This window comes from Homo sapiens, chromosome 6 (assembly GCF_000001405.40).
Source record: "Homo sapiens chromosome 6, GRCh38.p14 Primary Assembly".
NCBI lineage: Eukaryota > Metazoa > Chordata > Mammalia > Primates > Hominidae > Homo > Homo sapiens.
This window is the reverse complement of record NC_000006.12, coordinates 40709670-40735480: the sequence shown is the minus strand read 5'-3', so window position 1 is coordinate 40735480 and position 25811 is coordinate 40709670. Positions and strand designations below refer to the sequence as shown.

At 46.8% G+C, this 25811-nt stretch overlaps 2 long non-coding RNA genes across 5 annotated transcripts, besides 1 other annotated feature; one reads left to right on the top strand and one right to left on the bottom strand.

Annotated features, from left to right (window-relative positions):
• Positions 1-8209: 8209 nt before the first annotated feature.
• LOC105375052 (uncharacterized) lies at positions 8210-19939 on the bottom strand. Of its 3 annotated transcripts, none has more exons than XR_926787.3 (4): positions 14830-14927; positions 14580-14737; positions 12020-12106; positions 8210-10878 (listed from the first exon to the last, which is right to left on the bottom strand). It is a non-coding gene; the product is annotated as an uncharacterized LOC105375052 (long non-coding RNA). The 3 variants fall into 3 exon arrangements; XR_926788.2 differs by lacking the exon at positions 14830-14927 and adding an exon at positions 19037-19939 and having other exon boundaries at positions 10482-10878; XR_926789.2 differs by lacking the exon at positions 14830-14927 and adding an exon at positions 19037-19939 and having other exon boundaries at positions 10482-10878; positions 14580-14696.
• Positions 19940-20102: 163 nt separating this feature from the next.
• Positions 20103-22637, top strand: LOC101929535 (uncharacterized). Of its 2 annotated transcripts, NR_187731.1 has the most exons (3): positions 20103-20574; positions 21083-21185; positions 22018-22637. It is a non-coding gene; the product is annotated as an uncharacterized LOC101929535 (long non-coding RNA). The 2 variants fall into 2 exon arrangements; NR_187732.1 differs by lacking the exon at positions 22018-22637 and having other exon boundaries at positions 21083-21280.
• Positions 21820-22321: an enhancer, noted in NCBI's record as "H3K4me1 hESC enhancer chr6:40680899-40681400 (GRCh37/hg19 assembly coordinates)". NCBI's record gives its function as "activates a minimal SCP1, AML or CMV promoter by ChIP-STARR-seq in primed H9 embryonic stem cells {active_cell/tissue: H9 hESC(primed)}" and the evidence as "EXISTENCE:reporter gene assay evidence [ECO:0000049][PMID:30033119]".
• Positions 22638-25811: the final 3174 nt, after the last annotated feature.

Below are 25811 nucleotides of genomic sequence, written 5' to 3'. Positions count from 1 at the left end.
GACCCAGCAGTTGCATTTGGTGCCCTCCTCTGTCCTCTTAGTGTGCCCTTTTAAATTCTATTTCCAAACGAAATGATGGCTCCTTTGTGAAAGCTCCTGTGCATGCTGCCCGAGGGCTTTCTCTGGTTACTGGAGCATGCCTGTGCCCTCCCACAGGACAGAAGTACCAGGGAATTACCCTGAGGAGTAGCTCCCAAACAATACTAAATGGCAGTTGGTGCATAAATAGCCAGCTCTGGAATGTGTTCTACGCAGTCTCTGAGAGATTCCCAGTGGGACTGAGCCCCAGTTACCCACAACAGTAATCTGCTACCTGTACTGGCTTATTTTCCTGTCTTATTTTCTTTCTTCCCTATAGGTACTTCTTGGGGGTGACTTCCCAAATCAACTATTTGTCCTGACATCATTGTCTCTGACTCTACTTCTGATGAACTCAGACCAAGAAACCTGGGTTGATTGGTTCTCCTTACTGTCTCCAGAGAGAAGATCTGACAACCAAGGCAGAGGACTCCAAACTGGGAAAGAGCAGGAAGCTGCGTCTTATTGTCACTGTAGTTCCAGCACCTGGCATAGTACCACACACGGGACAGGTGGATACGTGCCCAGAAAGTATTCCATTAGATTGAGTTAATTAATTAAAGTGTATTCTCTCATCAACTTGCTGTGTGATTTTGGGCAAGTCACTTTACCTCTCTGAGCCACATTTTCACCATCTCCAAATACATCACCTACTTAGAAGATGAAATGAGATAACAGCTGTGAATGAGCTTTGTGTTTCTAACACCTTCTGAATCTTAAGGGGTGAATGATTAGAAAGCTGCCTCTTATTCTTGTTGCTGCTTTTCGAAATGCCCAAATGGGAACATTTTAATGGCTAAAAGGCAGCACCAATTTTCTCATTGAAATTCTTTTATTCGACAAAGTGGATAATCTTAGTGGAAGGAATATACATTATATTTTCTGTAAGATGCATTAAAGTTGTTTTCATTTTGAATTAAACATGCTGTTTCTGAATATTTGTTCTGAATTGGTCTTGTGCCAAAAAAATAAATAAATAAATAAATAAAGAGGAAGGCTGCTCCTCACTAATTTTCTCATTTGATAGCTGAGAAAATGGAGCAGGGACGACTGTGTCCCTAGGGCTACAGGCTAGTTAGGAATATCCATTCATTCTGCAGATACTACGTGGGCACAGTTATGACCAAGCACTGTGCTGGGTGGGGGTGTGCCTTGGTGAGCCCAAATGGTCACAGTTCTGCCACCATGAAGCTGTCAGTCTCGTGGAGGCTGTGGCTCTAAACAGAACAGTCACACTAAGGGTTGAACAGCAAGTGCTATGACAGAAAGGAACATGTTTCTTCAAGAACTAAAGCAATGGACCTAATCTTGTGGTGGTGGTGAATGGAGAGAGAAGGTACCCAGAGAAAGACTATTTGAACTGAAGTCTGAAGTCTGAGGCATTATCTGGGAGAAAAAGGAAGGGAGAGCCTCCCAGAGGAGATAGCATATGCAAAGATCCTGTGGCCTGAGGTAGTACATACATGGTGGGTTTGAGGAAGTGAAAGAACGTCCTTGTGGCCAGAGTATGGAGCACAAGGTGTGGGCTGATGAGAAATGAGGCTGCAGAGGTGGGCAGGAGGACCCTCATAGGTCCTTGGAGGGCATGTGTGCTAAGCCAGCTGTGGAATCCAAGTTTTATTCATTTTTTTCTGCCCAAAATTGTCTACAAAAATTTTAAAATACAGAAAAGTTGCACAGTGAACACTCATATACCCACCACTTGGATTCTACAATTTGCATTTTGCTCTCTTTGCTTTATCACATATCTTTCCATCAATCCATCCCTTATTCATCTATTAATCCATCCTATTTTTCATGCTCTTCAAAGTAAGTTATGACATCAATGCAGTTCAGCCCCAAACACTTTGGCCTGTGTATCGTATCACTGGCAAAAGCATACTGCTGTGCAGCCCAGATCCTTATCAAGATACCAAACATTCCATCACTCCAGAAAGTTCCTTTGTGTCCCTTCTCAGTTAATTCCTGCCTTCAACTTTCAGGCAACCACTGTTCTGATGTTTTGCACCATAAATTAAATTTACTTATCCTAGAACTTCATATAAGTGGAATGATTCATTATATCCCTTTTTGGGCAAGGCTTTTTTAGCTCAACATAATGTTTTAGAGATTAATTCGTATTGCATGTATCAAGAGTTCCTCCCTTTTTGTTGTAGAATAGCATCCCTTCTATGTATCTGTTAAAATTCGGTCATCCATTCTACTGTTAATACATATTTGGGTTGTTTCCAGTTTGGGGTGATTAAGAATAACACTGCTATGAACATTTTTGTACAAGTCTTTCTGAGGATGTGTGTTTTCATTTCTCTTGGGTAAATACCCAGGAACGGAACTGTTGGGTCATAAGGTTGATGTGTATTTAGTTTTATGAGCAACTTGCAGACTCTTCTCCAAAGTGGCTATACCATTTTCTATTCTCATGAACAGGGTAGAATTCCAGTTGTTCCACATACTCATCAGTACTTTCTGTCATCAGCCTTTTACATTTTTAAATTGGTGAGTGTGTAACGATAGTTCATTATCAATTTAATTTGCATTTCTCTGGTGGTGAGTTGATGCTGAGAACTTTTTCCGTATGCTTATGGGCCATTTGCATTGGCTTTTGGTGAACTATCTGCTAAAATCTTTTGTCTACTTTTAAAAAAGAAAATTATTTATCTCCTTATTATTAAGTTTTACGGGTTGTGTGTGTGTGTGTCCTGCATATAAGTCCTTTGTCAGATAGATACAGTAATTATTTTAACCAACAAATGTTAATTGAACAACTGCTAATACCAGGCAATGTGCTAAACTAGACAGCCTGAGGTCTGCCTGTGGAAAGTCACAGTCTAGGTCCCCTGACTAGCAAATCCAAAGCTCTTCCCACTAAACTCACCTTCTCAGAAGAAGAAAGCTTTAGATTCCGTATTTTGTCAGGATCCTTGAGCTAGCAGGAGGGGCTTCAAAGGAGGCATCAGATCCCAGCTCAGCCACTTACTTGCTGTGTGATTGGGGGCAAGTCACCTAACTTCTCTGAGCTTTTGTTTACTCATATAAAAAAAGGGAAGGGAAGGGAAAGAAAAAGAAAGGACCTACCTCATATATTTGCTGTGAAGACTAAAGGAGGCAAAAACACCGGGCATACAGTAGGCCCTAAGCCAACGTCAGTTTTCTTTCTTTTTCTTCCCCTGGGACAAGAGTCTGTGCTAACCCTGAGGTGACTTCAGCAAGGCTTGACCTGTCTTTGCAGGGTTCTAATAGAGACAAACTGTGTAGTTTAAAAATTAGATGTTATGATGGTACTAACAAAGTAGTGAGTACTTATTCTCTCCAGGGTTGTGCTCAGTGGCCCCTGTTTTCCAGAACTGATGAGATTTCCTGGGTTTGCTACTGGAGTATGTTTTTAATGGGCTTTCTGATTTCTCTCCATCAGCAAAGAGCTGAGAGAGAAGCACGCTGGCCTGGGAGGGAGAGGGCCTGGGTTCCCGGCCTCTCTCAGTCTTAACCAACCATGTGCTCCAGGCAGGTTTCTCTCATTCCTCTTGTGCAGACCCTTTGGAGTAAAATCAAGGGGTGGGGCAAAGCAATTTCTAAGGTCTCTTCCAGTTCAAATATTCTGTGCTTGCAGGTTTCTTGGGTCCCTGATGAATGCTGGACCACGGCTGGGAGACACATTTTCAAGCAGAATTGACTGTTAGATCAGCAAGCATTTATTAAGCACTTTTATATGATCTTATGTTTTGAGACTTGGGGTGGGAGGACAGAGGCCCAAGGCAACTATTAGATGTATCACAACTCAAAGAGTCTCAATCAGACCTAAATTTAAAAATAATTGATAGGAAACATGTTAATGTTCTTGAAAAAGCAAAGACAAAATAACTGCATACCCAGTTACTCAGGCACCTCTGTGTTCAATTTTCCTTTAACCAACTTCTTAACAGCCAATTAATGATTTTCTTTATTTACGCAATTGATGGAACTGGGGACTGTCTTACTACTCCCTTTATTTTTGCCTAAGTAGAAGACATGTATTTGTTGGCTGTAAGGGTTTTGGATGGTTTTTTGTTTGTTTGTTTTTAGATTATATATCAGTGAGATGAAAGCCATATCTCTTCTCTAATTTACTAATTTGGTAAATTCAAAGCTTCCTGGGAGGGATTTGTGTAAACTGTGGTTGAAAAGGAAGGCAGCCTGTGCGAATAACAGCAGCCAGGCTGGCAGTGCTTGGAGGGGCTTCCTCCGGCCCCAGCCTGGGGCTCTCCTGAAGTTCACAGCTAAGTGGGGCCAGCCCCAGGAGGCAGCACTACCGTGCTTCAGAGCAACCAGCTGCCTTTCTCACCTCCTAGGTGGGCACATTACTCTGGCACTCAGTTTCCTCACCTGTATAATGGAGATGGTGGTAATGCCAACCCTGCCAGATTGTTTGAGGAGTACATGGGGTGGTGAGTGTAAAGCACTCAGTACAGTGCCTGGCATATCATAGGCTCCACATCCATGTTATCAATATGAAGGGAATTGTCAGTGTGAAGGGAACAGTGTTGGAGGCCCCTTAGCTTCTAGTCACTTGGATGTAAGGGACCTCTTCAGCAGACATATAGGAGTCAGCCTCTGAATCCTTTCAGTTCTTCTCCCTCAGGGATATGTCTCCTCTGGATTGTCCCCAAGGCTTTATCCTTAAGTCACAATTTTCCCAACATTTTTTTCCTTCTGAAGCTCTTGGTCTCCATTTACATGTAAATTGGACGTCTGAGTTCCTGAGGCCACAGAGTTTGTTGAATCTGGCTTTCACATTTTAAGGGAGGTAAAGAAATACTGCAACAGTGAGGGATGTAATTTTCAACCCAGAATAAATCTTCCTCTTCCTGGTCCCTGACAATCTCCCATTCGTAGGTGCTGGGACTAGGAGTGGTGAATTTCCTACTGCAAAGGATCTCCCCAAGGCTATTCCCCAAGGGGCTCATTTAACAGGGCCTCTGTCATAGTCCATCAACACCTCTCAAGGGCTGACACTTTCTACCTCTTTAAACTTTTTCATACCTGCAGCAAACGCTTCCAAGCAACAGGGGTCTGGGTAAAGGCCTGCTTGATTGCCCTTTCCCGTAACACCTCCATCCCCCTCCTCCAGGTCCTGAAGTCCCCCAGACCAGTGTTGTCCTGAACTGGAGCAGGCAGTAGAGGGATAAGTAAATCCTTATAACAAATACTACTGTATAACAGCATATTGGATGCCAGTTCCCATTGGCTAACCAAATGCTTTCCCTGCATCATCTCATTTTATCCTCAAGAACCCTGGTAGCAGATACCATTATTCACTCAACCGAAATCAGGAAGCTGAAGCTCAGAAAGGTTCACCAATTTGCCAGAGACATGAACTTTGCTAATGGTAGATCTGGAATTGGAGTCAGGGGTTCTGCCTCCCGAGAGCAGCATGCCATCCTCTGCTGTAGGTGTGATCCTCATGGGAGGGATGAAACCAGGATTTGGCCTTGGGCCTGTCTGACTCCTCAGCCCTGCTCATGCTGCTTAGGAGAGACTCACTGTAGGTATCATACAATGAGTTTTCAAATAAATAAGATTCAGCAAAACCCAGAGAACATCAAAACCCTGTCGGATGCAATTTAATGTCTCTTAGAGATTCAAGGAAGCATATTGTGCTCATTCAGGAATTCAGGACCACGGCTGCTGTGTTGATTGCTCTGAAGATGGGCAGAGCTAGTCAACTGCTAAGGCTTCCAGGGACGGAGAACCAGGTAATGGAAAGGTTTCCTGCCCTGTCTTAGTTTATCTTCTTATGAAAATGGTGATTGGATTTTAGAGTCAGGGATGGGTGAAGCTCATAGAGAACCGTTTAGATGTGAGACAATTTGATCCCACTCACCAGATAGCTTATAATAATGAATAATAGTAGGTACCACTGAATTTACATGCTAAGCAGTTTCTAGACACACACACATATATTTAACGTAGTATCTCATTCAAAGTTTATCAACTTATGAGGTGGGTATTTTCCCAGGTTGACAGATGAAGACATGGCCACCCAGAGATGTTAAGTAAGTGACTCAATGTCACACAGCTGGGAATTAGAGGGTTTGAACCTGGGCACTCTGGCTCTAGAATATGTGTTTTAATCATGTTCTATATTCTGTAACTATTTAGTGAGCCCCTGATGAGTGCTTAGCATGATGCTAGGAGTATTAAAGTGTTAATCCCCAGACCCCTGCACATCTTCTTCCTTAAAAGGAATCATATGGGGACTGGTCCATGGCTTCCTCCCTAAGATCATGCATGTTCCATGGGGCAGGATCCCACCCAGGTTGCCCAGCTGCATACTCAGCCGTTGGTAAAGGCTCTGGTACTCGGCATCAACTGAGAGATTGAGACAGTTCAGCTCATCCCACCACAACCAGCCACATGAGCTCCAAGCCCAGTGGCTAGAGCTGCAAGAGGACCTGGGGTTGGAGAATGTGTAGCAGGGAGAGTGGAAACTCCGGGGAAAAGAAAGGGCTTCTGTAGCCTAAGGCCCTTCTGTTATAAGTAAGGCCCTGGGTCATTTCTAACAGCATCAGCTTGTCAGTAATGCAGACTCAGACCCATCCCAGTCTTGCTAATCTGAATATGCATTTTAACAAGATCCTCAAGTAATTTGTGTGCACATGGAAATGTGAGAAGCACTGGTGCTATGGCCTCGATATTTGTGTCCCACACCCCAAATTCATATGTTCAAATACTATCCCCCAAAGTGGTGGTGAGGCCTTTGGGAAGCGATTAGGTCATGGGGTTGGAGCTCTTATAAATGGGATAAGCGCACTTATAAAGGAGACCCCAGAGAACTCCCTCATCTCTTCTATCCTGTAAGGGCACAGCCAAAAGGCGCCATCTATGAACCAAGCAGCAGACCCTCACCAGACACCAAATCTGCCAGCTCCTTGATCTTGAACTTCCCAGCCTCCAGAACTGTGATAAATAAGTTTATTGTTTATAAATCACCCAGTCTAAGGTATTTTGTTATAGTAGCTTGAACAGACCAAGATGACTGGTATCAGGAGCTATCATCAGAATGGCTGAGACGGCTCTAAAACTCTTTGTGGAACTGGCTGGCTCCACAGGTTTAGCAGGCAAAGGTCAAGTTCAAAAAGGTCAGCTCTGAGAAGTTAATATGCTAAATACCAGGGGTTAATGTCAGCTGTGGGAAGGTTGGACTTGCAAGCAGGACTGAATGTGATCCCATGATGAAGGTCGCTTGTATCTCTCTCTGTCTTACTTTCTGTGTGTGAACTGCCCTAGGCTTCCCTCTTTGGGGGTAGCCAGGTGTGCAAATGTGCCTGTCCAGGAGAGATGCAAGCGTTGATCCACAGGGTTTGAAGTCACTGTCTAAGTGGAATCAGACTAACCTTACCTCTGTTTGTTGTGGCTGCTGCTGCCCTGATTCTCATTCATGAGTACATAAGTGTATATTCCATGTACAGCTAGAAGTCTGTCCATACACAGGATTCTTGTATCTTACACAGAACACTTTGCAGAACACAGTTCTCTACTGGAATCCCTGTCCACTTATATTAGACTTAAGTATTTAAATTTAATCCATTAGTAGTTCTATATTTAATTTTTAAAAATTAAATAAATTATTCACCGATTAATAAATAATAAAGTTTAACAGCTGTTAATGAGCATTTGAAATAGATAAATTATTACATCCTGTACACAATACCAATATTTACCTGTGAAACAGAAAAGTTGTACCTATAAGAAACTTTACCATTTTGACCTGGTTCTCTTTTACTGTTAGCAAATATGAACTAATTACTCTATTATGTAGCATAAATAAGAAAGGGAGGGGGAGATGAAGGTGATTTACATGCTAAGAGTATGTTTTGTTCAACTCTTTTGACTACTCTAGCCCAGCGCATGCTCCCTCCCATCCCCAACAACTAGGGGGAGATGGGGAGTAGCCCATGAGGGTTGCCATTGGTTACATGGTGTTATAAACCATTCAAGAGTAAATTGCCTATCCCTCTCTTGCTGGGTGTTTCCCCAGAGTATTGCTAAAAGAGCCTCATGTAAAACCAGAAGTAGGAGTGAGCTACACACTGAATAAGAAAAGCATCCATGAAAATACTGTTACTTTTATTATATAGGGAATATAAAAGGCATATAAATAAAAATATTTTATTATGCGATTTGAACATTAAATTTCATTGCCATACCCCACATGCTTTGTTATGCAGACTGACGTCTGCTAGGAATGAGACTCTGGCATTGCCTTTCTAGCTTGTGTAATTCTAAGATGTCCTGAAAAAGTGTATTAGAATTTCCATTTATGCAAAAAGCTGTATGTGTGTGTGTGTGTGTGTGTGTGTGTAGGTGTGGGATGCGTGCATGGAAGTATGTATATATGTATACGCATGTGGATGAAAAAATGTAGATACACTTGCACGTGTAGTCACTCATTCTGTTTGTCAGTTAACTATTTATTAAAATGTCTACTATGTGCTATTTTACATGCTGAGGATTCAGCAATGCACCAAAACAGACAAAATCTCTGTCTTCATGGAGTTAATATTCTCATGGGAGAGGGTATTAGGCCATTCTTGCATTGCTATAAAAGAATACCTGAGGCTGGGTAATTTATAAGGAGAAGAGGTTTAATTGGCTCACAGTTCTGCAGGCTGTACAGGAAGCATGGTGCCGGAATCTGCTTGGTTTCTGGGGAGGCCCAAGGAACCTTGCAATCATGGGGGAAGGTGAATGAAGAGCAGGTATCTCACATGGCGGGAGCAGGAGCAAGAGAGAGCAGGGAGGTGCTACACACCTTTTAAACAACCAGACTTCAGAGGAACTCACTCACTATCCCCAGGACAGCACCAAGGAGATGGCGCTAAACTGTTAACGAGAACTCTGCCCTCACGATCCAATCACTTCCCACCAGGCCCCACCTCCAACACTGGGGATTACAATTCAACATGAAATTTGATGGGGACACAGATCCAAACCATATCAGAGAGAAACACCGTATCCAAACCAACAAACAAGCAAATATTAAGTGAAGAAAACCAATTAGGATGAGTGATCCAGGTGCCACCTACGACAGGGTGACCAGGAAAGGTGTCTTTGAGAGGGTAACATTTAGACAGAGACCTTCATAAGGGGAGAGGGAATGAGTTGTGCTGGAGGGGCAGGAATCCAGGCGGAGGGTCCAGCTTATGTTAAAGTGTGGACACAAGGGCTCATTTAGAGGTTTGGGGAACACCGAAGAGGGTGTGGAGAACAGTGAGTGAGACGGGGTCTGTGTACCGGATAACAAGCTCCATAAACTAGGGACCATGGCGCCAGACTCGTGGGGTGAAAGTGGCTTCATAGCTCACCTAGCCAAAAACCCTCATTTTCTGGGCAAGTTGGAGCCAGAACTGGGATTTTGCACTTAGGGGTCCTAACCACGAGTCTGGGGGCTCTGCCCTCTCCCTGCCTCCATTCCCTACCCCTAAGTGACTCAGCTTCCCTGGTGCAGGCCTAAGCCAAAACAAAAGGGGCTACTTCCTGCTTGTTTATGGACTGATCCTGGTTCTCCTTCCCTGGCTCAGTCAGACTCAGAGCCTCTGGCATTTCCTTAACCTGTCTTCCTATCCCTGACCTTCCAGAAAAGGACTGGCACAGCCTTGTGCCCTGCAGACTCTTGATGAAATCATCATTCATGCTTGTGCCATTCTTTGCACAAACTGTCTAGGGAGGCTTCATCAGGCTTCAGATTTCACGAGGGAGGGAGGTGGGGAGCTACAAGCATTATTTTGGGAGAGGGGTGTTATGGAGATGGTGATATTTGTGTTGAGAAAGACTGAGGCCCGGGGAAGTGACTGAGACAGCTTTCCTGGAAGACAATGACAGGCAGGCCCTGGCTTCCAATGGAGGGTCTTGGATTCAAGGTGGGGCTGTGGGTTATCTCAGCTCAGTCACTCTTTCCAGGGATCTCTGAGCACCAGGGGCCTCAGTACTTTCTGTTTTTGGAGACCTGCTGTATCTGTTAGTATTAGGTTCAGTTGCAGGACAGAAAGGCCAAATATTGAGTAGGCTACTGGCCAATATAATTCAAGTTTGCTCTTCTCTCATGTAAAAGAAGTCTGGGTTGGCAATCCAGGCCTGTCAAGAGGGCTCCTTGGTACCATCCATGTCCCAGCCGCCATGTGTCTTTCTGTTTCTCAAGGTCACCCCATGACTTAAGATGGCCACTAGAATTCCAGCCATCATGTTGACGTTCTAGATAGAAAGTAGGAGAAATTGGGGAAGGCAAAAGGGTATCTATCAGCTGAGAAACCTCCCTTTACAAATCCTTTCCAAAATCCCCACCCAGTGACTTCCCCTTATATTTCACTGGTCACTGCCATCTTCAGGGGAAGCTGAGAAATACTTTTTTGTTTGTTTAGGTGGCATATTTCCACTCTAATGAAAATGTCATTCTGAAAGACCAGACGCTGGATATATGGTATTAAATCTCTGTGACTTATGCCAAAGCTCATACCAGCTCAGGCCCCTGTCTGAGGTCCCCAAACTCAGGTGGGGGATGGCAGAGAACAGGCATCCCTCGAGGTCCTGGTTGGTTGGAAAGAAGAAAGGGACTCCTGTGCTTAGCTCTCTCTCTCTCTCCAGATGGAATTATTCTCAGTGGATTTGTTGGGGGTAAGAATGAAGGACTTGAATGGAGTCCATCCTTGGAAAGATGGTCCCCCCTCACACTTGAATTTCTGGAACACATGCACATGAGTACGCTGGTCCCTGGACATGATTTCCTGGTTTCTGTTTATAAATGTGATGATACTGTAGTTCATAAGGCTGCAGGGAAGAAGAACAGAGAATATGAAGTGGATGTAAAAGTTGAAGCAAAATATTTGTCAAATGGTAGGCACTCAGATATAGTAACAGTTTACTATTGTTATATGTGTGTAAGCCACAGATTAGTGTGTTTGTGTGTGTGCACATGTGCTTATATAAACACGTGTGTGTGTAAGCATATGTGTATTCATGATTGTTCATGGAGAGGATGGCACAAAAGACAGAATGAGAGGCTGTGGCAGGCTTTGGTTTTTGTGTGTCCTGTGCCCTGCTCTGCTACCCAGCGGGGCAGGGAAGGGCAGGGCAGTGATGACAGGACCCACCTCTCACAGAATTGAGTTTCCATGGGAGGCGCTTTAACACTAAAAATTCCTGCAGTCCAATTTTGAGGGCAACAGGCAGAGATAAGCTGGGTTGCCAAGCAACCAGCCATTAACAGGAAATTAGTCGCTCATCTCTGAATGTCCTGTCCCATTTCCATCGTACCTCCCGGACTTCTGCCAAACAGAAACACTCACATACAGGGACACACAGAGAGCCATACAACTGAGTGTCTCCAGGAGCTTTTAGAGAGAGAATTCACATTGCTGGACTCACATCCAGCTAGCAGGCAGGCCAGAGCATCACTAGTCACTTCCTCCTCTTTCCCCACCCTCTGTTTCTCCTTCCCTACCCATTCCTCTCCAGGCATAGCTCAGCCCTGTGTCCCAGTGGGCCCTAACGGCCTGCATTCATGTATTTTTCCCCTTGAGCTCTCTTAGGGCAGGGCTCTTTCTTCTTCACCAATCTGAAAGCTCCCTACAAGTAGTGGTACCCAGCCTCTCAAATCTCACCCTTAACCTCATCTCTCAAACCCTACTCAAACCCTATCCCAAACCCAAATCCCAAGCCTGATGTTTGGCCTAGGTTTCTTGCTTCAGGAGCTGGGCTGCACCTGTTGTCAAAGGGGCAGAGCCACCTCAACACTCACTTGGGGTGTGTGAGAAATCGATGTCCCATCTGGGGAAAGAAAGTGGAGTGGAGCAGGCTTGCTTGACCTCCCATATTGGCCAGGCCTGGGTCAGGGGCTCAGGTTAGGAGCGGCTTTTGCCTCAACCCCGTCCCGACAGAGAACAGTGAAGTGGGGGCCCCTTCAGGTCACCTGATACCTCCTGTGGAACATGCCCCTTCCTTGGATCTGTTCTGCCCTCGTGGGTAGCACTTGGGGTCTTCATAGACACAAATATATCTGGAGAGAAAGCCGCATACCCAGAATTACCATCTCCAGCCCAAGCCATATTTCTAGCAAGTTGACCTTGAGTCCTGAGGCTCCTTCTCCACCTATTCCTTCCCTCCACACATTCATGGACATGGGCAACTGATCCCCAATTAGCAATGTCAATTGGACTACACACTGGGCTAGACTCTGCTGTAATTCCCCTCTTGGAAGGAGCCCATGGCCCAGGGAAAGAAACAGACATGTAAGTCGTTATGTGCCCAGCAGAGGCATATGAAGGGTGTGGAGGAGACCCAGACAAGGAGTAATTCAGTCTGTTGAAGTTGAGGGGGTGGGTGGAGAGAGAAATCAGGGAGCAGGTGATATGCCAGTTGGACTTTGGAGTATGAATACAAGCTTGCCAGAGAGAAATGTTGGGGACAGTGTTGAGGAGAGGGCATTCCAAGCAGAGGCAACAGCCTGGACATGGGCTGTGTATAAATAATCACCTTCCAGAATTAAGGACCAGTATTGCTGTGTTTTTAAAGTTAATATTTAAAGAACATTGGGATAGGGGCAAGGAGGTTCAGGCCTCAGCTCTGACCCTGACTGGTTGTGCATCCCCAGACAAGTTATGTCATCTCTCTGGACTTCTGTTTTCTCATCTGTGAAACAGAGGCTTGGGCAATCTCTGGGGTTGTTCTCAAGCCTGACAACCCACGGCTTTGTTTGTGTAGGATGTTCATCTGCGGGGAGGAGGCCCAGGTGGGGGTGTTGCAGGGGCTGTGGTCTTCTCATTTCTCTCCACTTCCCTCCCTCCCCACTCTGGGACTGCCTCATTGCCTTCCAAGGGTCTCCTGGCAGCATAGAACTCTGAGCATTACAGTGACCTTTGCAGAAAATTGCTCATTTCAAAAGATTTAACTGTATTTAAAGTTAACGTGGGAGGATTTTAAGCAGGGATCGGCAGGTATCATGGAGTGTAAGGATGGGCTGTGATGTGTCTTGGAGACCAACAAAGGCTGAGGGAAATAGGAGTTTGCCCATTCAGCACCTTTCCCAAGAGGGGAGCAAACAGCTGAGGTCGGAGCTCCTGGATTACACACTGAGGCCTCCCCTGCCTGAGGAATGCTCTGAGCTGAGAGAACAGGATTAAGACCCGAGCAGCAACTGTTCTCACAAGTTCTGTCCTATAAGAAGCATTATTGTCATGCAGGAGAGGAAGGTGATGAGAGGGGCAGAAAAACAGCTTATCCTGACTCTCCTGGGTCTCCAGCCTCTCCTGTACAGCCCAGTCTACTTACTGGCAGAGCAGGAGGCTGCCTGGATGTCTTTCCTGTCCCAGTGACACCTTCCTTTTTTGACTACAGGAAAATCCCAAGAAGACAAGAAAGGTCACATCATTAACCCACGAGGGTGTTAGCCTGATGGCCTCTTGGGAGGCCACTGAAAGGAAAGAAAGATGAGGTGCCCCAAAGGGAGATGGAAGGACCCCAGACAGGCTTGACGCTATGCTGTAGCTCTGGGGGGCCTCTGGGCAGCCTCTCCACTGCCTGGCAGCAGGACTTGTGGAGCAACTCATCCTGTTTCAGCCTCATGAAATCATGACTTTCAATGCCCTTCAGGGCCCCAGGGAGGAAGACGGTCTCTCAGTGACAGGAGCAGGGAGAGGAAAGCTTGACCTGTTGCCCCTGTTCCCTGGGTGGTCACTGCTTTCTGGCCTGAGGCTTTGAATCTTCAAAGCCTTTTTTAATGTGAAAGAAATGTAATTTCTTTGTCAAATCAAAAGCTCCTTAGCTGTGCAGAGGCTGCTCAGCCCAAACACCCTTGCCTTGGGCAGAGCAGAGGCCTGATGACTTGCCATGGGTGTGCTTGTGCATATTTAATTTAATTTGTATTTATGGAGCGCTGCGCTGTCTGCCTATGTGGGGCCCTGTGTGCTTGAATGCTCCCTTTTGCAGGCATCTCTGTCTGCAGGCACTCATGCATGCCTGTGTATTATGTGTTTGGCATATGTCCATGTGCCCACATGTGTAGGCCTAGCCTAGTGATTCCGGGTGGAGTGCGCTTATGTGAAGACACAAATGGATGCAGTGGTGGGATGGGAAGAAGAGAGCCGCAGAAAGCCTGTGCCTGGAGCATCTCTTGCTAAAGTGCTGAGAACACATCAGCATCTCAGAGAAGCCACTGAAGCCTGGGCCCCAGTGAATGGAGGGCCAGAAAAGCTCAGGTCCACTGAGCTGTCACCTCGCTAGAGGTCTCTGGGGACCTCAAGAGCCTAGTGCCTCTCTGTGACCTGGATCTGGGCAAAGGATTTACCATCATAGCCCCTCACCCCCTTATTATTAACTACTCAGGAACGTCCCGACCTCCTTTTCCCATCTGAGCAGTGGCTGGCAGGGTGGCTGGCTGGAGAGGGAGGAGGAGGGCATGGATATGAGGACTTTCCTGAGTAACGTGGGCAGGGGTGGAGGCTGAGGGAAATAGGAGCTTGCCCATTCAGTACCTTTCCCAAGAGGGGAGCAAACAGCTGAGATTGGAGCTCCTGGATTACACAGCCAAGGCCTGGCCTCCTCCATCTGACTTGGATGCCTGATCTGAAGATGGATCTTGGCTGGAGGATCTGGAGAGGCAAAGCACGAGACGGTGGGGTGGACGAAAGGGCTAGACATAAAGAGACAGTTCTCATTACTCAGGAGAAAGTTGCATTCTCAGTTTTTATAATGCTCTTGAAGAGAAGAGTAAGTTTTTCTCACTTGCAGCTGGCTGGAAAGCCAGGGCTGGGTCAGGGCTCAGGGAGCAGGAATAGGCACTGAGACCTTTTTGGCTGTGGTGATAGATGGTGCTGATGAACTTGAAAGGATGCTGTGGGTGGAGTTGGGGGAGGGGTTGCCTCATCTCAGGACAGAAGGGGCAGAAGGGGATTATTGTCTGCAAAAAGTGAGGTGGGGGTGGGGAGGCCTGAGGGATCTTTCGTCTCTTAGTACCTCTTCCCTCCCTCCCTCCCTCTGTCCCTCCCGAGCTTCCTCTTCCCCAGGGTCCTTTCTCTCCCTGCTTTCTCTATCCAGGCACTCCCCAGCCCAGCTGGTCAGCCTCTCTTCTGGCTCTTGAGGTCTATGAGGGACACTGGCCACTCCTGCGGGACACACAAGACTGTCCTGCGCCTCTCTCTCTGTGATCACACTGAAAGGTTCTTCTGCTTCCTGCCCCTGGGTTGGCTAAGGGGCTGCTACGTGCTGCCTGCAGGTTTGCATCCCAGCTCCCCCTTTCAGGGACTCAGCAGTGGAGGCTGTTAAAGGCAGCGTGTAATTAACATTCTGGGCTGGTAGGTGTGCACGTACTGCAGGACTCTGAGAGCTGAGAGGGCACCTCACTCGGCATTCCCACCTCTTCATTCTCTCTCCCCAGTTTGCTTGGATTCCCATGTGTGCTCTCTTTCTGCATCTGTCTGCTCTCCTCTCTGTTATCTCCCTGTCTATCCTCTCCATCTCTCCCTGGCTCTGTGTCTCCTTCCAGCTCCTCTGGGCTCCAGATGCCTCTCAGTCTTACATAGTTAAGTGTTTTTTTTCCCACTTCCTGTTTTCCTTCCCAGAGCCTGCCTGCCTCTTTCTTTCTAAGTGCTCTGATCTTACTTTCAGTTCCTCTCCCTGTAGGTCTCCTGCTCTATCACCCTGTCTCTGTCTCTCTCTTTCTCCCCCCACGCTCCACCCCACTCTCCTATTTGGAAGGTAAGTGTTCAAATAAATGAAAAAGGTCAAACCCCATGTGCCTGGCAGTAGAAAGCAACTTTGCAACCCTGGGAGCAAGCGTGGCAGAGACTGTGTGGAACAAAAGATCCCCAATTACTGCCTCTCAGTGCCGGGCTTACTGCTCTAAAAAAAGAAGAATTCAAAGTAGGAGAGGCAGAAGGGCCTTGGTGGGGCTGTGGAGCTGGAGGTATAGCAGGCAGTAGTGGGCGTGAGAGGACTCAGCCCCAAGACACTCCAAGAATTGTTTCTACCTCTCTTATCTGGCTCCAGATTCCAAGCCTTCTCTCCATCTGAGCCACCCTATGGGCCAGCTCCACTGGCCCCACTGCATGTTCATGATGCTCATGCCCACCGGGACCTCACCCCCAGACACACACTTATGCCATTAGAATCCCCATTCTATTGCAGGCCCACAGTTCTCCAGGCCACAGCTCTGTCATGAACAGGTGTCAGGGAAGCCATCCTTACAGGCTTGAGACAGGCTTCAAATTCCCTTCTTACTCCCCTCTTTGAAATCCCCTCAAATTCAATGGCAATCTGTCTCCCAGGAACAGACCTAAATTGCATTTTAACCAATTTCTATTCTTTCCCACTTTCTCTTATCCAGTGGGTAGCGGATTGGTCGAGGATGGGGTAAAATTTACTGTTTCATGTTTCCAAAGACCACCTCTGTGAGTTATAGGAAAAGCTGGTGTGATGGTTAACATTAGGTGTCAACATGACTTGGCTAAGGAATGCCCAGATAGCTGGTAAAATGTTCTTTCTGGGTTTGTCGGTGAGGATAAGTCTGGAAGAGATCAGCATTTGAAATGATAGGCCAAGTTAAGAAGATCTGCCCTCCCCAATGCGGATGGGCATCAACCAGTCTATTGATGGTCCAGAGAGGAAAACAAACAAACAAACAAACAAACAAAAAAGGTGGAGGAAGGAAAAGTTTGCTCCCTGTTTGAGCTGGAACATCCATCTTTTCCTGTCCTTGGACTTCAGTGCTCCTGGCTCTTGGGCCTCAGGACTCAGACCAGGATTTATATTATTGTCTCCCTTGGTTCTCAGGCCTTCAGACTTTAAGCCACTCACTTTAAGCCAATGCATTACACCACTGGCTTGCCTGGTTCTCCAGCTTGCAGATGGGCAGACTGTGGGACTTCTTAGACTCCATAATCGTGTGAGCCAATTCCTGTAATAAATCTCTCTATATCTATACCTATCTATACTTCCTATTGATTCTGTTTCTCCAGAGAACATTCACTAACACAGGTGGTATAGATTTTAGAGTTAGAAGTTCAGAACTCAAATCTAGCTTTCCCTACTTAATAACTTTGTGATCTTGGGCAAGTTATTTAATCTCCTGGAACCTCAGTTTCTCTATCTGTCAAACGTGGGCTCAATAATCCCTATCTTACAGAATAATTATTGTATCTATCTTACAGATAATTCCTATTTCAAGGATCCACTTATTAGGAGCAGGCATAGTTAGCAGTCTACCAGCCCAAAAAAACATAGCAGTATTTGGAACAACAAGTAACTTATCATGGATATCAGTTTCACAGTTCACCCTTGAGTTTATTTAGGAGGTTCAAGTGGATTCCAACAGGTCATGGTGACCTATTTATACTGATTTCCGGATGAAATTCAGAATTTGGGTTCCCCTCAAGGAGGAAAACTCTTACAGTTAGTGCTATGCTATTGCTCCAAGGTCTCTGCAGGACTGGGCCTTAGGAACCAGGTGTTAGCCAGCCTGATCACTCACTCTGTTTTGGTTTCTCCCCTTCCCTGTTCCACTGTCCCATTCCTCTTTCAGTGCTTTCTTCACCTCCCAAATAAACGATATTGCACCCACATCATTGCCTCAGGCTCAGCTTCTGCAAGAATCCAAATTGAGATAGCATGATATTGCATAAAGACTCTGGGTTTTAGGATCATGTTCCAATGCTGACATGATTTAGCTGAAGGTTCTTGCCTTATTTCTTAGTCTATTTTCTGCTGCCATAACAGAATACCACAGACTGGGTAACTAAAATAGAAATTTATTTGGCTCATGGCTCTGGAGGCTGGAAAGTCCGAGAGCATGGCACTGGCATCTGGTAAAGGCCTTTGTGGTGTGTCATAACATTGTGGAAGACATCACATGGCAAGAAAGTGTGAGAGTGTATCAAACAGAGGGAGAACATTAGAATAGTGAACCCATCCTTTTTATCAGTAACTCACTGTCACAATAATGGCACTGATACATTCATGAGGGTGGATCTCTCATGGCCCAATCACCTCTTAAGTGACCCACCTCTTAATTCTGTCACAATGGCAATTAAATTTCTTTTCTTTCTTTTTTTTTTTTTGAGGTGGAGTTTTGCTCTTGTTGCCCAGACTGGAGTGCAATGGCACGTTCTCAGTTCACTGCAATCTCTGCCTCCTGGGTTCAAGTGATTCTCCTGCCTCAGCCTCCCAAGTAGCTGGGATTACAGGCATATGCCACCACGCCTGGCTAATTTCGTATTTTTAGTAGAGATGGGGTTTCACCATGTTGGCCAGGCTGGTCTCAAACTCCTGACCTCAGGTGATCCACCTGCCCTGGCATCCCAAAGTGCTGGGATTACGGGTGTGAGCCACTGCACCTGGCCAGGCAATTAAATTTCAATGTGAGTTTTGAAGGAGACATTCAAACCATAGTACTTCATAACCAATTTTGATAATAATTTTCGCATCTATGAATGGGGCTACTAAAAATTCCTTTCCTGCCCATCTTAGAGACTATGTTATGATAAGATTAAATGAGATAATGTGAGTAAAAACAATAACAACAAAAAAGCAAACCATAAATCAATATGTACATGTAAGGAGTTACCATTGTCATTAATATTTGATCTTGTACATTCAACTCTCACCATCAAAAGGCATTTTGGGAGTGGAGATTTCAGGGCCATCTTCCCTGGCACAGATTTGGCTGAGCCTGTCCACCAGCCTCTTTTCGTTCTTTGTGCACCTTTTGCACTGTGATCACTGAGGGCTCCCACTTATTCTTCACCTGGTTCCCTGACTTTGAAGTTATTTAAAGGAACTGTTATTACTGGCTTTGGAGTTCCTCACAAGGGGATTCTCAGATGCTTTTCCTGGATGTTTGACTTCAAATGTACATCTGACCTGCCATGCACTCTTTTCTTGTAATAAATAATTAATAATAAAATATAAATATATAATATAGATTATATACACTTACAGGATGCCTTTCCCTTTACATCTTTACATGACTTCTTTTTCTCTGCTAGTTAGCAATGCAGAGGGTTTTTTTTTTTTTTTCCTTTCCAGAAACCAGTCTTTTTGATCCTCAGCACACATTTTTTCCTGGCTTTCAATGAGGATTTTCTTTATTTTTTTAAAATAGTCTATGGGTTTCTTATGCTTTTAAAAATGTTATTTAAAACTTTCTTTTAACCATTCCTTTTGATTTTTTTTCTTCAACACATGCTCTCATTTTCTATATTTCTGTCTACAAGAAATGAGCAGTGGCATAATGGGTATTTTCGGCTTTCCCACCAGGGGATTAAACTTCAAGGTGCTGTGGTCTGAAGGAGGCAGAGCTTCACCCATAAATGTGTTTTGGCCAGTTCCTGCCTTTCCCTCTAGAAACACCCCTGCCTCTTCCCCACGCTGCAACCAGCAAGCCTCGTGCCTGTGACAGGGCCCTTATCTCCGTCACCACCGGGGACTCGCTGCACAATGCCACTTTATCACTTGCACCAGCTGCCTGAGCTCACTGCACCTCACCCTTAATTAATTACACCCTCTGCCGTAAGGAGCCATCTCCCTCCCGAAGACAGCCTTCAAGACCCGTCAGATGAAGAAGCAAAACCCTTTCATCTTTCCTGATGGCTCCTCTCTTTCTATGTCATTTTTTTCCCCTTCCTGCCAACACTGATTCTTTTGTAAATCTGCTTGTGCTCTTGGTCTAGAGCCATCCACGAGGCCTGGACTCCGCAGTGAAATCAAGCTCCAGGAAGCAGGGTGTGAGGCCCATTAAGTATGGCAGGGAGCAGAGGCAGGGTGTTTGGTCTTACGAGACTCCAGAGGCCAGTATTCAAAAATGGTCAGAGGGCATGGGAGCATGGGGCAAGGTGGTGTATGTGTCCCAGGTGGGGGGCGCAGTGACTGCTGGGGATCAGAGATAGGCTTCAGATATGGTTGTGAAGAATATTCCTCTGTGATATCATGTTTCACTGTTGTGTCATAGACAGTGAGAGACCCTGTCAACAGAGGCACAGGCAGCAATGGGTTCTGCAAATCATGACGCAGACAGCGACACTAACAGTGAGAAGCCTCAGCACAGAGTTGCACAGAGAGACTGCCTCTGCATTTGTGACACTGACAGCACAGACACCATAACTCCAGCCATGACAGGCTCTGCACACAGGGACCCAGGAAGTGAAGGGCACTGCAGACCATACCTCTGACTGTGACAGACCCCGAACATCCACAGAGACAGTAACATCAGCATTGACAGGCTCAGCAAACAGAGAAATAGGGAGGAATGGGCTCTGTCGACATCATAACACCAACAGACACAGGGACAAGTACTGCAAACAGTGACACAAACAGTACTAGCCTCTCCCAATAATACCAAGCTCTGCAAATAAAACTAAACTCCACAGAATGACAAACAGTGCCACGGTCTACAAATGGTGACACAGGCAATGACAAGCTTTGCAAACAGCTCCAAGCTCTGCAAATAATGACACACAGGGCCAAGCTCTGCAAACAGTGAGTGTAGTTGCACCTGGGGCATGGACAGCCAACCAAGGGCCACGCCTGCTTATTTCAAACACTGGCCCTGAGCACACCCACCTGCTATCACTGTCTCTAACACTCCCCATCTCCCTCCCACTCTCTCCACTGCTTCAAGTCTCCTTTCATTTGAAAATCCTTCACTTGACCCACTCTTCTTTCCTCTTATCTGTGGGTGTTCTGCCTTTCAGAGCTAAGCCTTTCCCATGAAGAACCAGGCCTAAGGCCTTCTGGAACCCACCCCCTTGGCACCCTGGGAAGACACGCCCTCCACCAGAACCCTCACCTTCATGCCCTGTGGTTTCTGTAGCTGAGCTGCCCACTCCCCCTCAGATTTCAGACTGACCTTCCTTACCCCTGGCTTCTGGAATCTGCCCCCATCTGCCTGAAATGGGGTGGGGAAGGGAAGGATGATCCCCAGACCATATGAAGCCATGTCTGCTCATCTCTGCTTCCTCCTTCACTATGACCCTGTGAGGTGCAGCGTGTGAGGAGACAGAAGCACACAGAGGAGAATTCACCTGCCAGGGCCATAGAAATCCTGCGCTGCTGTCCAGCACTGGGATTCGTGTCTGCCCAACTCTCAGGTGGATGAGTTACTATTACGGGTGACGTAGCAAAGCAGTTTGGTGTGCAGACCACAGGCAAGAACTGCTTGAATCCTGGCTCTGTGATCTGTGGGAAATATGTAACCTCTCGCCTCCTCAGTTTCCTCATCTGGAAAATGGGGATAATAATTATACTTATCTCAGAGTGTCTGAGTGAGAATTTAATGATACTTAAATGCCTAAAAGGGTTTTTTTGGAAGCTGCAACTGACCTGCTCAGCCCTGCTCTGGTCTCATTTCCTCAGCCTCCCCCCTGTCCCTGCTACTCCACACAGCCTCCTTGCTCTCTTCCAACCAGCTGGACCCCTCCTTGCGTGGGTGATACACGCTGTTCCCTGTGGAGTGAGCTTTCCCAGGTGTCCGCCCAGCTCACCCCTTCCCTCCTGCAGGTCTCCAGGCTCAAGTGTCACCTCCACAGAGAGACTTCCCTGACTGCCCTGGGTAAAGTGGCGCTTTCTCTAGCTCCGGCTCCCCTCAGCCTGCTTTAATTCTTCTTTTGTCACCACCTTTATTGCCGAGTCCTGTAGCCTCTGGGAGGACCGGGAGCTCAGGGGCATGGGTTGCAAATGTAAACAGGGCAATGCGGGGAAGCCAGCATCCGTGGGAGGAGAGGGAGCTGTGCTGTGGCTCCCTGAGGACTTGAAGCCAGGCCAGGAGGATGTCACTGGCTTTTCATAGGGATCCCTCACCTAGGCACGCCTCAGCTGAGGTGGCCTTTCCCCTCCAGCAGCCCTTTGGTAGGAACCGGGAGGCCTGCTGGCAGCAAGGGAGATGACATGCCTGAGCCTTGACACTGACACTTTTCCCCCCAGCAAACAGGCATGAGGGCTGGAAGAGGAGAAAACACAACTGGCTAGGAGAAGGCAACCTTCCCTGCTGTGGTGAGCAACAGTCGTGAGCTGTCAGCTCCTCTGGGACATCCTCTCCCTTTCAGTTCCCTGCCTGCAACACAGTTCTCCCTCTCTCCTGCCAGAGGAGGCTTGGGCTGGCAGAGAGAAGAGAAAGAATAACCAGAGAGGGACCAGGCAGAGGGGAGAAGAATCCAGCATGTGCTGGTGGCTTCGAACTACACTGAGCTCAGACACGCAGGCTCTGAGGCTGGAACAGTGCTTCCCTCTTGAGGCTTCCTCCAGGCAGGGCCCGCAGAAGCTGCCGCTGCACTCTCTGAATTCCAACACTCCAGATGTGCAGGGGGCCAGATGCACAAACCGAAGCCTAGAGCCCTGGGTTGAGATGCCTGGGCAACAGAGAGCAAGGACTCTGCCTCATTATGGGATGCAATAAGCAGGTAACTTCTTTCACTGAAAGACTGGATTCTCCTCCAGGTCTTGAGATGAGATCCTGGGTCTGCAGCAGGTCATCTGAGCATCAAACATAATATTAATCTTCTAGGTATCTTGACTGCTGTGTGCACAAATACTGTGCAGTCAGGAAAATGGCAGCTTAGTTACGTCCCAGTCCTGTTGTTGTGTGGGCTTTGCAGTCCCCTAAGTCCAGGCTTTGGGGGAGCTGCACTGTGCTATCCACAGATCCAGCCTCTTTCTGTCTCCTGTCCCTGCTCCCTGGCTGCACATCCAGGGAATCTTCCTTGAGGTGTGGTGAGTTGCTATACTACTCGTCTAGCATTTCCAGAACATGTTGGAGGGAATCAAAGCCTTCCTATAGAAACTAATGGGGACAGATTTCATACTCTGGAAGAGTGCTTTAAGCAAATGAATAAGCAAATACCAGGACATGGGAAAAAGCTAGAGGAAGCAAGAGATGAACAAAGCCTCTGTTGGATCGTATGGGGACTGGAAAACAGAGGCGTCAAGGCAGACCAGGATCATGGAGGTGACCCACCTGGTGATGCTGGTCCAGGGCACTGTGACTTTGTCAGTGAGAAGGCCTATTCATTCATTCACTGACTTGCCCACTCATTTATTCATTCAACTGAGCACCTGCCACGTGCCAGCATGGGGCAGCCCTGGGCCTTTGGATGAACAAGAGAGACATGAAACTCACAGTCCAATGGGACTGATTTCAAAGACCCCATGTTTCCTTCCGAGTTTGTGTGGTTTCTATATATTCAGCCCATACTGCACACTGTCAGGGCTGCTGATGAGAGAGTGGGCATCAGAGCAGCATGTGGAGTGGAGCTGTGTGGTTGTGGTCAGAGCCAGTAGCAACTAGGGTATTAAGGATTTAGAATGCCAACCCTGCATTCAGTTCTCTTTATAGATCCTTTTGGTCAACTTCATAAAGTCCGGAGTTAGGGAGCCCCTTTAGGTACAGATGTGCTCTTATCCCTGGAATGGGTAGATAGGGCATGGCTGTTATAGTCAGCTCCTGATATCCTAAATGGGCAGGGTCAGGGGGAGGTCCTGAACCCACCCCCTCCCAACAAACACACACACAATATTTACACACACAGACTCATACTGACATATGCAAACACACATATACAATTCACATACACTTATACTCTCACTCAGGGGCATGGGTTGCAACTGTAAACAGGGGAATGCAGGGAAGCCATACATGCACAGACTCATGTAGACACACATACAATTCACACACACATACATGCACACATTCACAGACACAGGACACACAAACATGTTCTGTCTCTTGCTCTCTGTCTTGCTTTATTTTTCTCCTGCAGACTGCTCCTTTCTGTCTGGCAGTGCTGCAGACAGGAGGCTTAAGAGAGTTAGGGTTAGGAGATGTTCTCTCTGGAGTCAGTTAGCCCTCAATCCTCCTGGGCTTTCTGCTGCTGACTAGCTGTGTATCCTTGGCTAATATTTCTGACCCTCATGTACCTGTTCTGATGAGTGAGGATGACATATCCACCGTCAAGATTTAAATGAGAGAAACAAGAACAAGCATGTGAAGTGGACAGGTGTCTGTCTTTGTGGCCAACCTCACTCTCTCCCTGTGTCTGGAGATTTCTCCCTATGTTGGGACCAGAGTGGGTGGCAGAGCCTACCTTCTACTATGGAAGACTTGGCTCTGCCATTCGGATGCACCTGCCCAAGACTCAAGGGGATCCTAAAGAATTATATCTGGTTGCTGCAACCATTTTAAGAGTTCTCAGGACAGCAGTGGCTGTGCTGCTAATTTGGTGGCCAGCATCCAGCTGGCAAGCTCCAGGCCTAGGGCCAGCCCAGCAGCAGTGGTGTTCAAATGTGGACCATTTTTGCAGCAGCATCACTTTGGGTGTTATTCTTGAGTGTGTAGCCCCAAACCTGGTATTTAGGCCCTTTAGAGAGTCTATGAGCAACCAAAGATGTTTTTAGTAAATTATTTTTAGGTTTAAATCAGCCAGAGTTGGTTTCTGTTGCTTGCAGCTCAGAGCCCGGTCTGCTAGAGTGTGTAAAGCATTTGGCCTGGTGCCCAGAACACACATAGCAGGTGCTCAATAAATGTTAGCCATTAGAGATGACATGCACACAGCTTCAGAGATAAATTGGAGAGGGCAGGATGGAGGGAGGGGGCTGTGAGAACAGGATGCAGCTGAAGCCCTCATGGCGGAAGTGATCCAATCTCCCCACCCTCAGTTTCTCCAGCCGCAGGGCCCCAGGAGACAGACGGGAAGCCTCTTTCCCTTTTCACTGGTTCTCTGTCACTTGCCTGCTTCCAGCCCAGTCAGGGTTGGGTTTATTTGCACAGCTCAGATTCCCAGGAGGAGTGGGAGTAGTAGGAAGGGCAGCAGGAGAGGCTGGACAGAAATCCAGATAAAAGGCTTTAAGTGGAAGCCCCATCAGAGCCTGCCAGATTCCCGGTACCAGTTTATTCCCTTTACTCCCCAAGTAAACGTGCCTATATCTGTTGCTTGGCTTCATCGTCTCCATTTCTGCTCAAACAAATCCCAGATCACTGAGCTTCAGAAAAGAAATACAGGAACACCAGGAAGCCCCTGAAGGCAGAGGACACACAGGGAGGACCATCGGCCAGAGCCTGTGGGATTAGTCTTCTGCCCTGCTCCAAAACCCCCTTAGGTACATGGGCCCTTTCTCTAACCCCTACCTTCCTCCATGGGAGATACATATTACCTTTACCCAGAGGGCTACATACAGTTATATGCCTTTTGAACTGCACAGAGGCATCAGCTGAAAGTAAAAGTGGGGTTCCTTGGATCCAGGCTGGGTCCGACTGGGGGAAGGAGCACCTTTGTACCTCCACAAGAGACTACATGCAAGACCATGCTTGTAGCACTATTGAGGGGCTTTGAGAGTTTATCACCATGTTACTAGTTTAATCTGGGAGAATCAGCATCCTCTCATTTTCTGTTATTCAGTGCCATGGTTTGAATGTGTCTTCCAAAGTTCATGTGTTGAAAACTTAATTCCCAATACAACAGTGTTGGGAGGCAGGGCCTAACAAGAGGTGAACAGGCCATCCAATTCTCATGAGTGGATTAATGCCATTATCATGAGAGTAGGCTCATCATAAAAGTGGGTTTGCCCCCCTCTTGCTCTCTTGCCTTTCCACCTTCCACTATAGGATGACACAGCAAGAATGCCCTCACCAGATACAGGTCCTTTAGCCTTGGACTTCCCAGCCTCCAGAACTGTAAGAAATAAATCTGTTCTGTATAAATTACCTAATTTGTGGTATTCTGTTA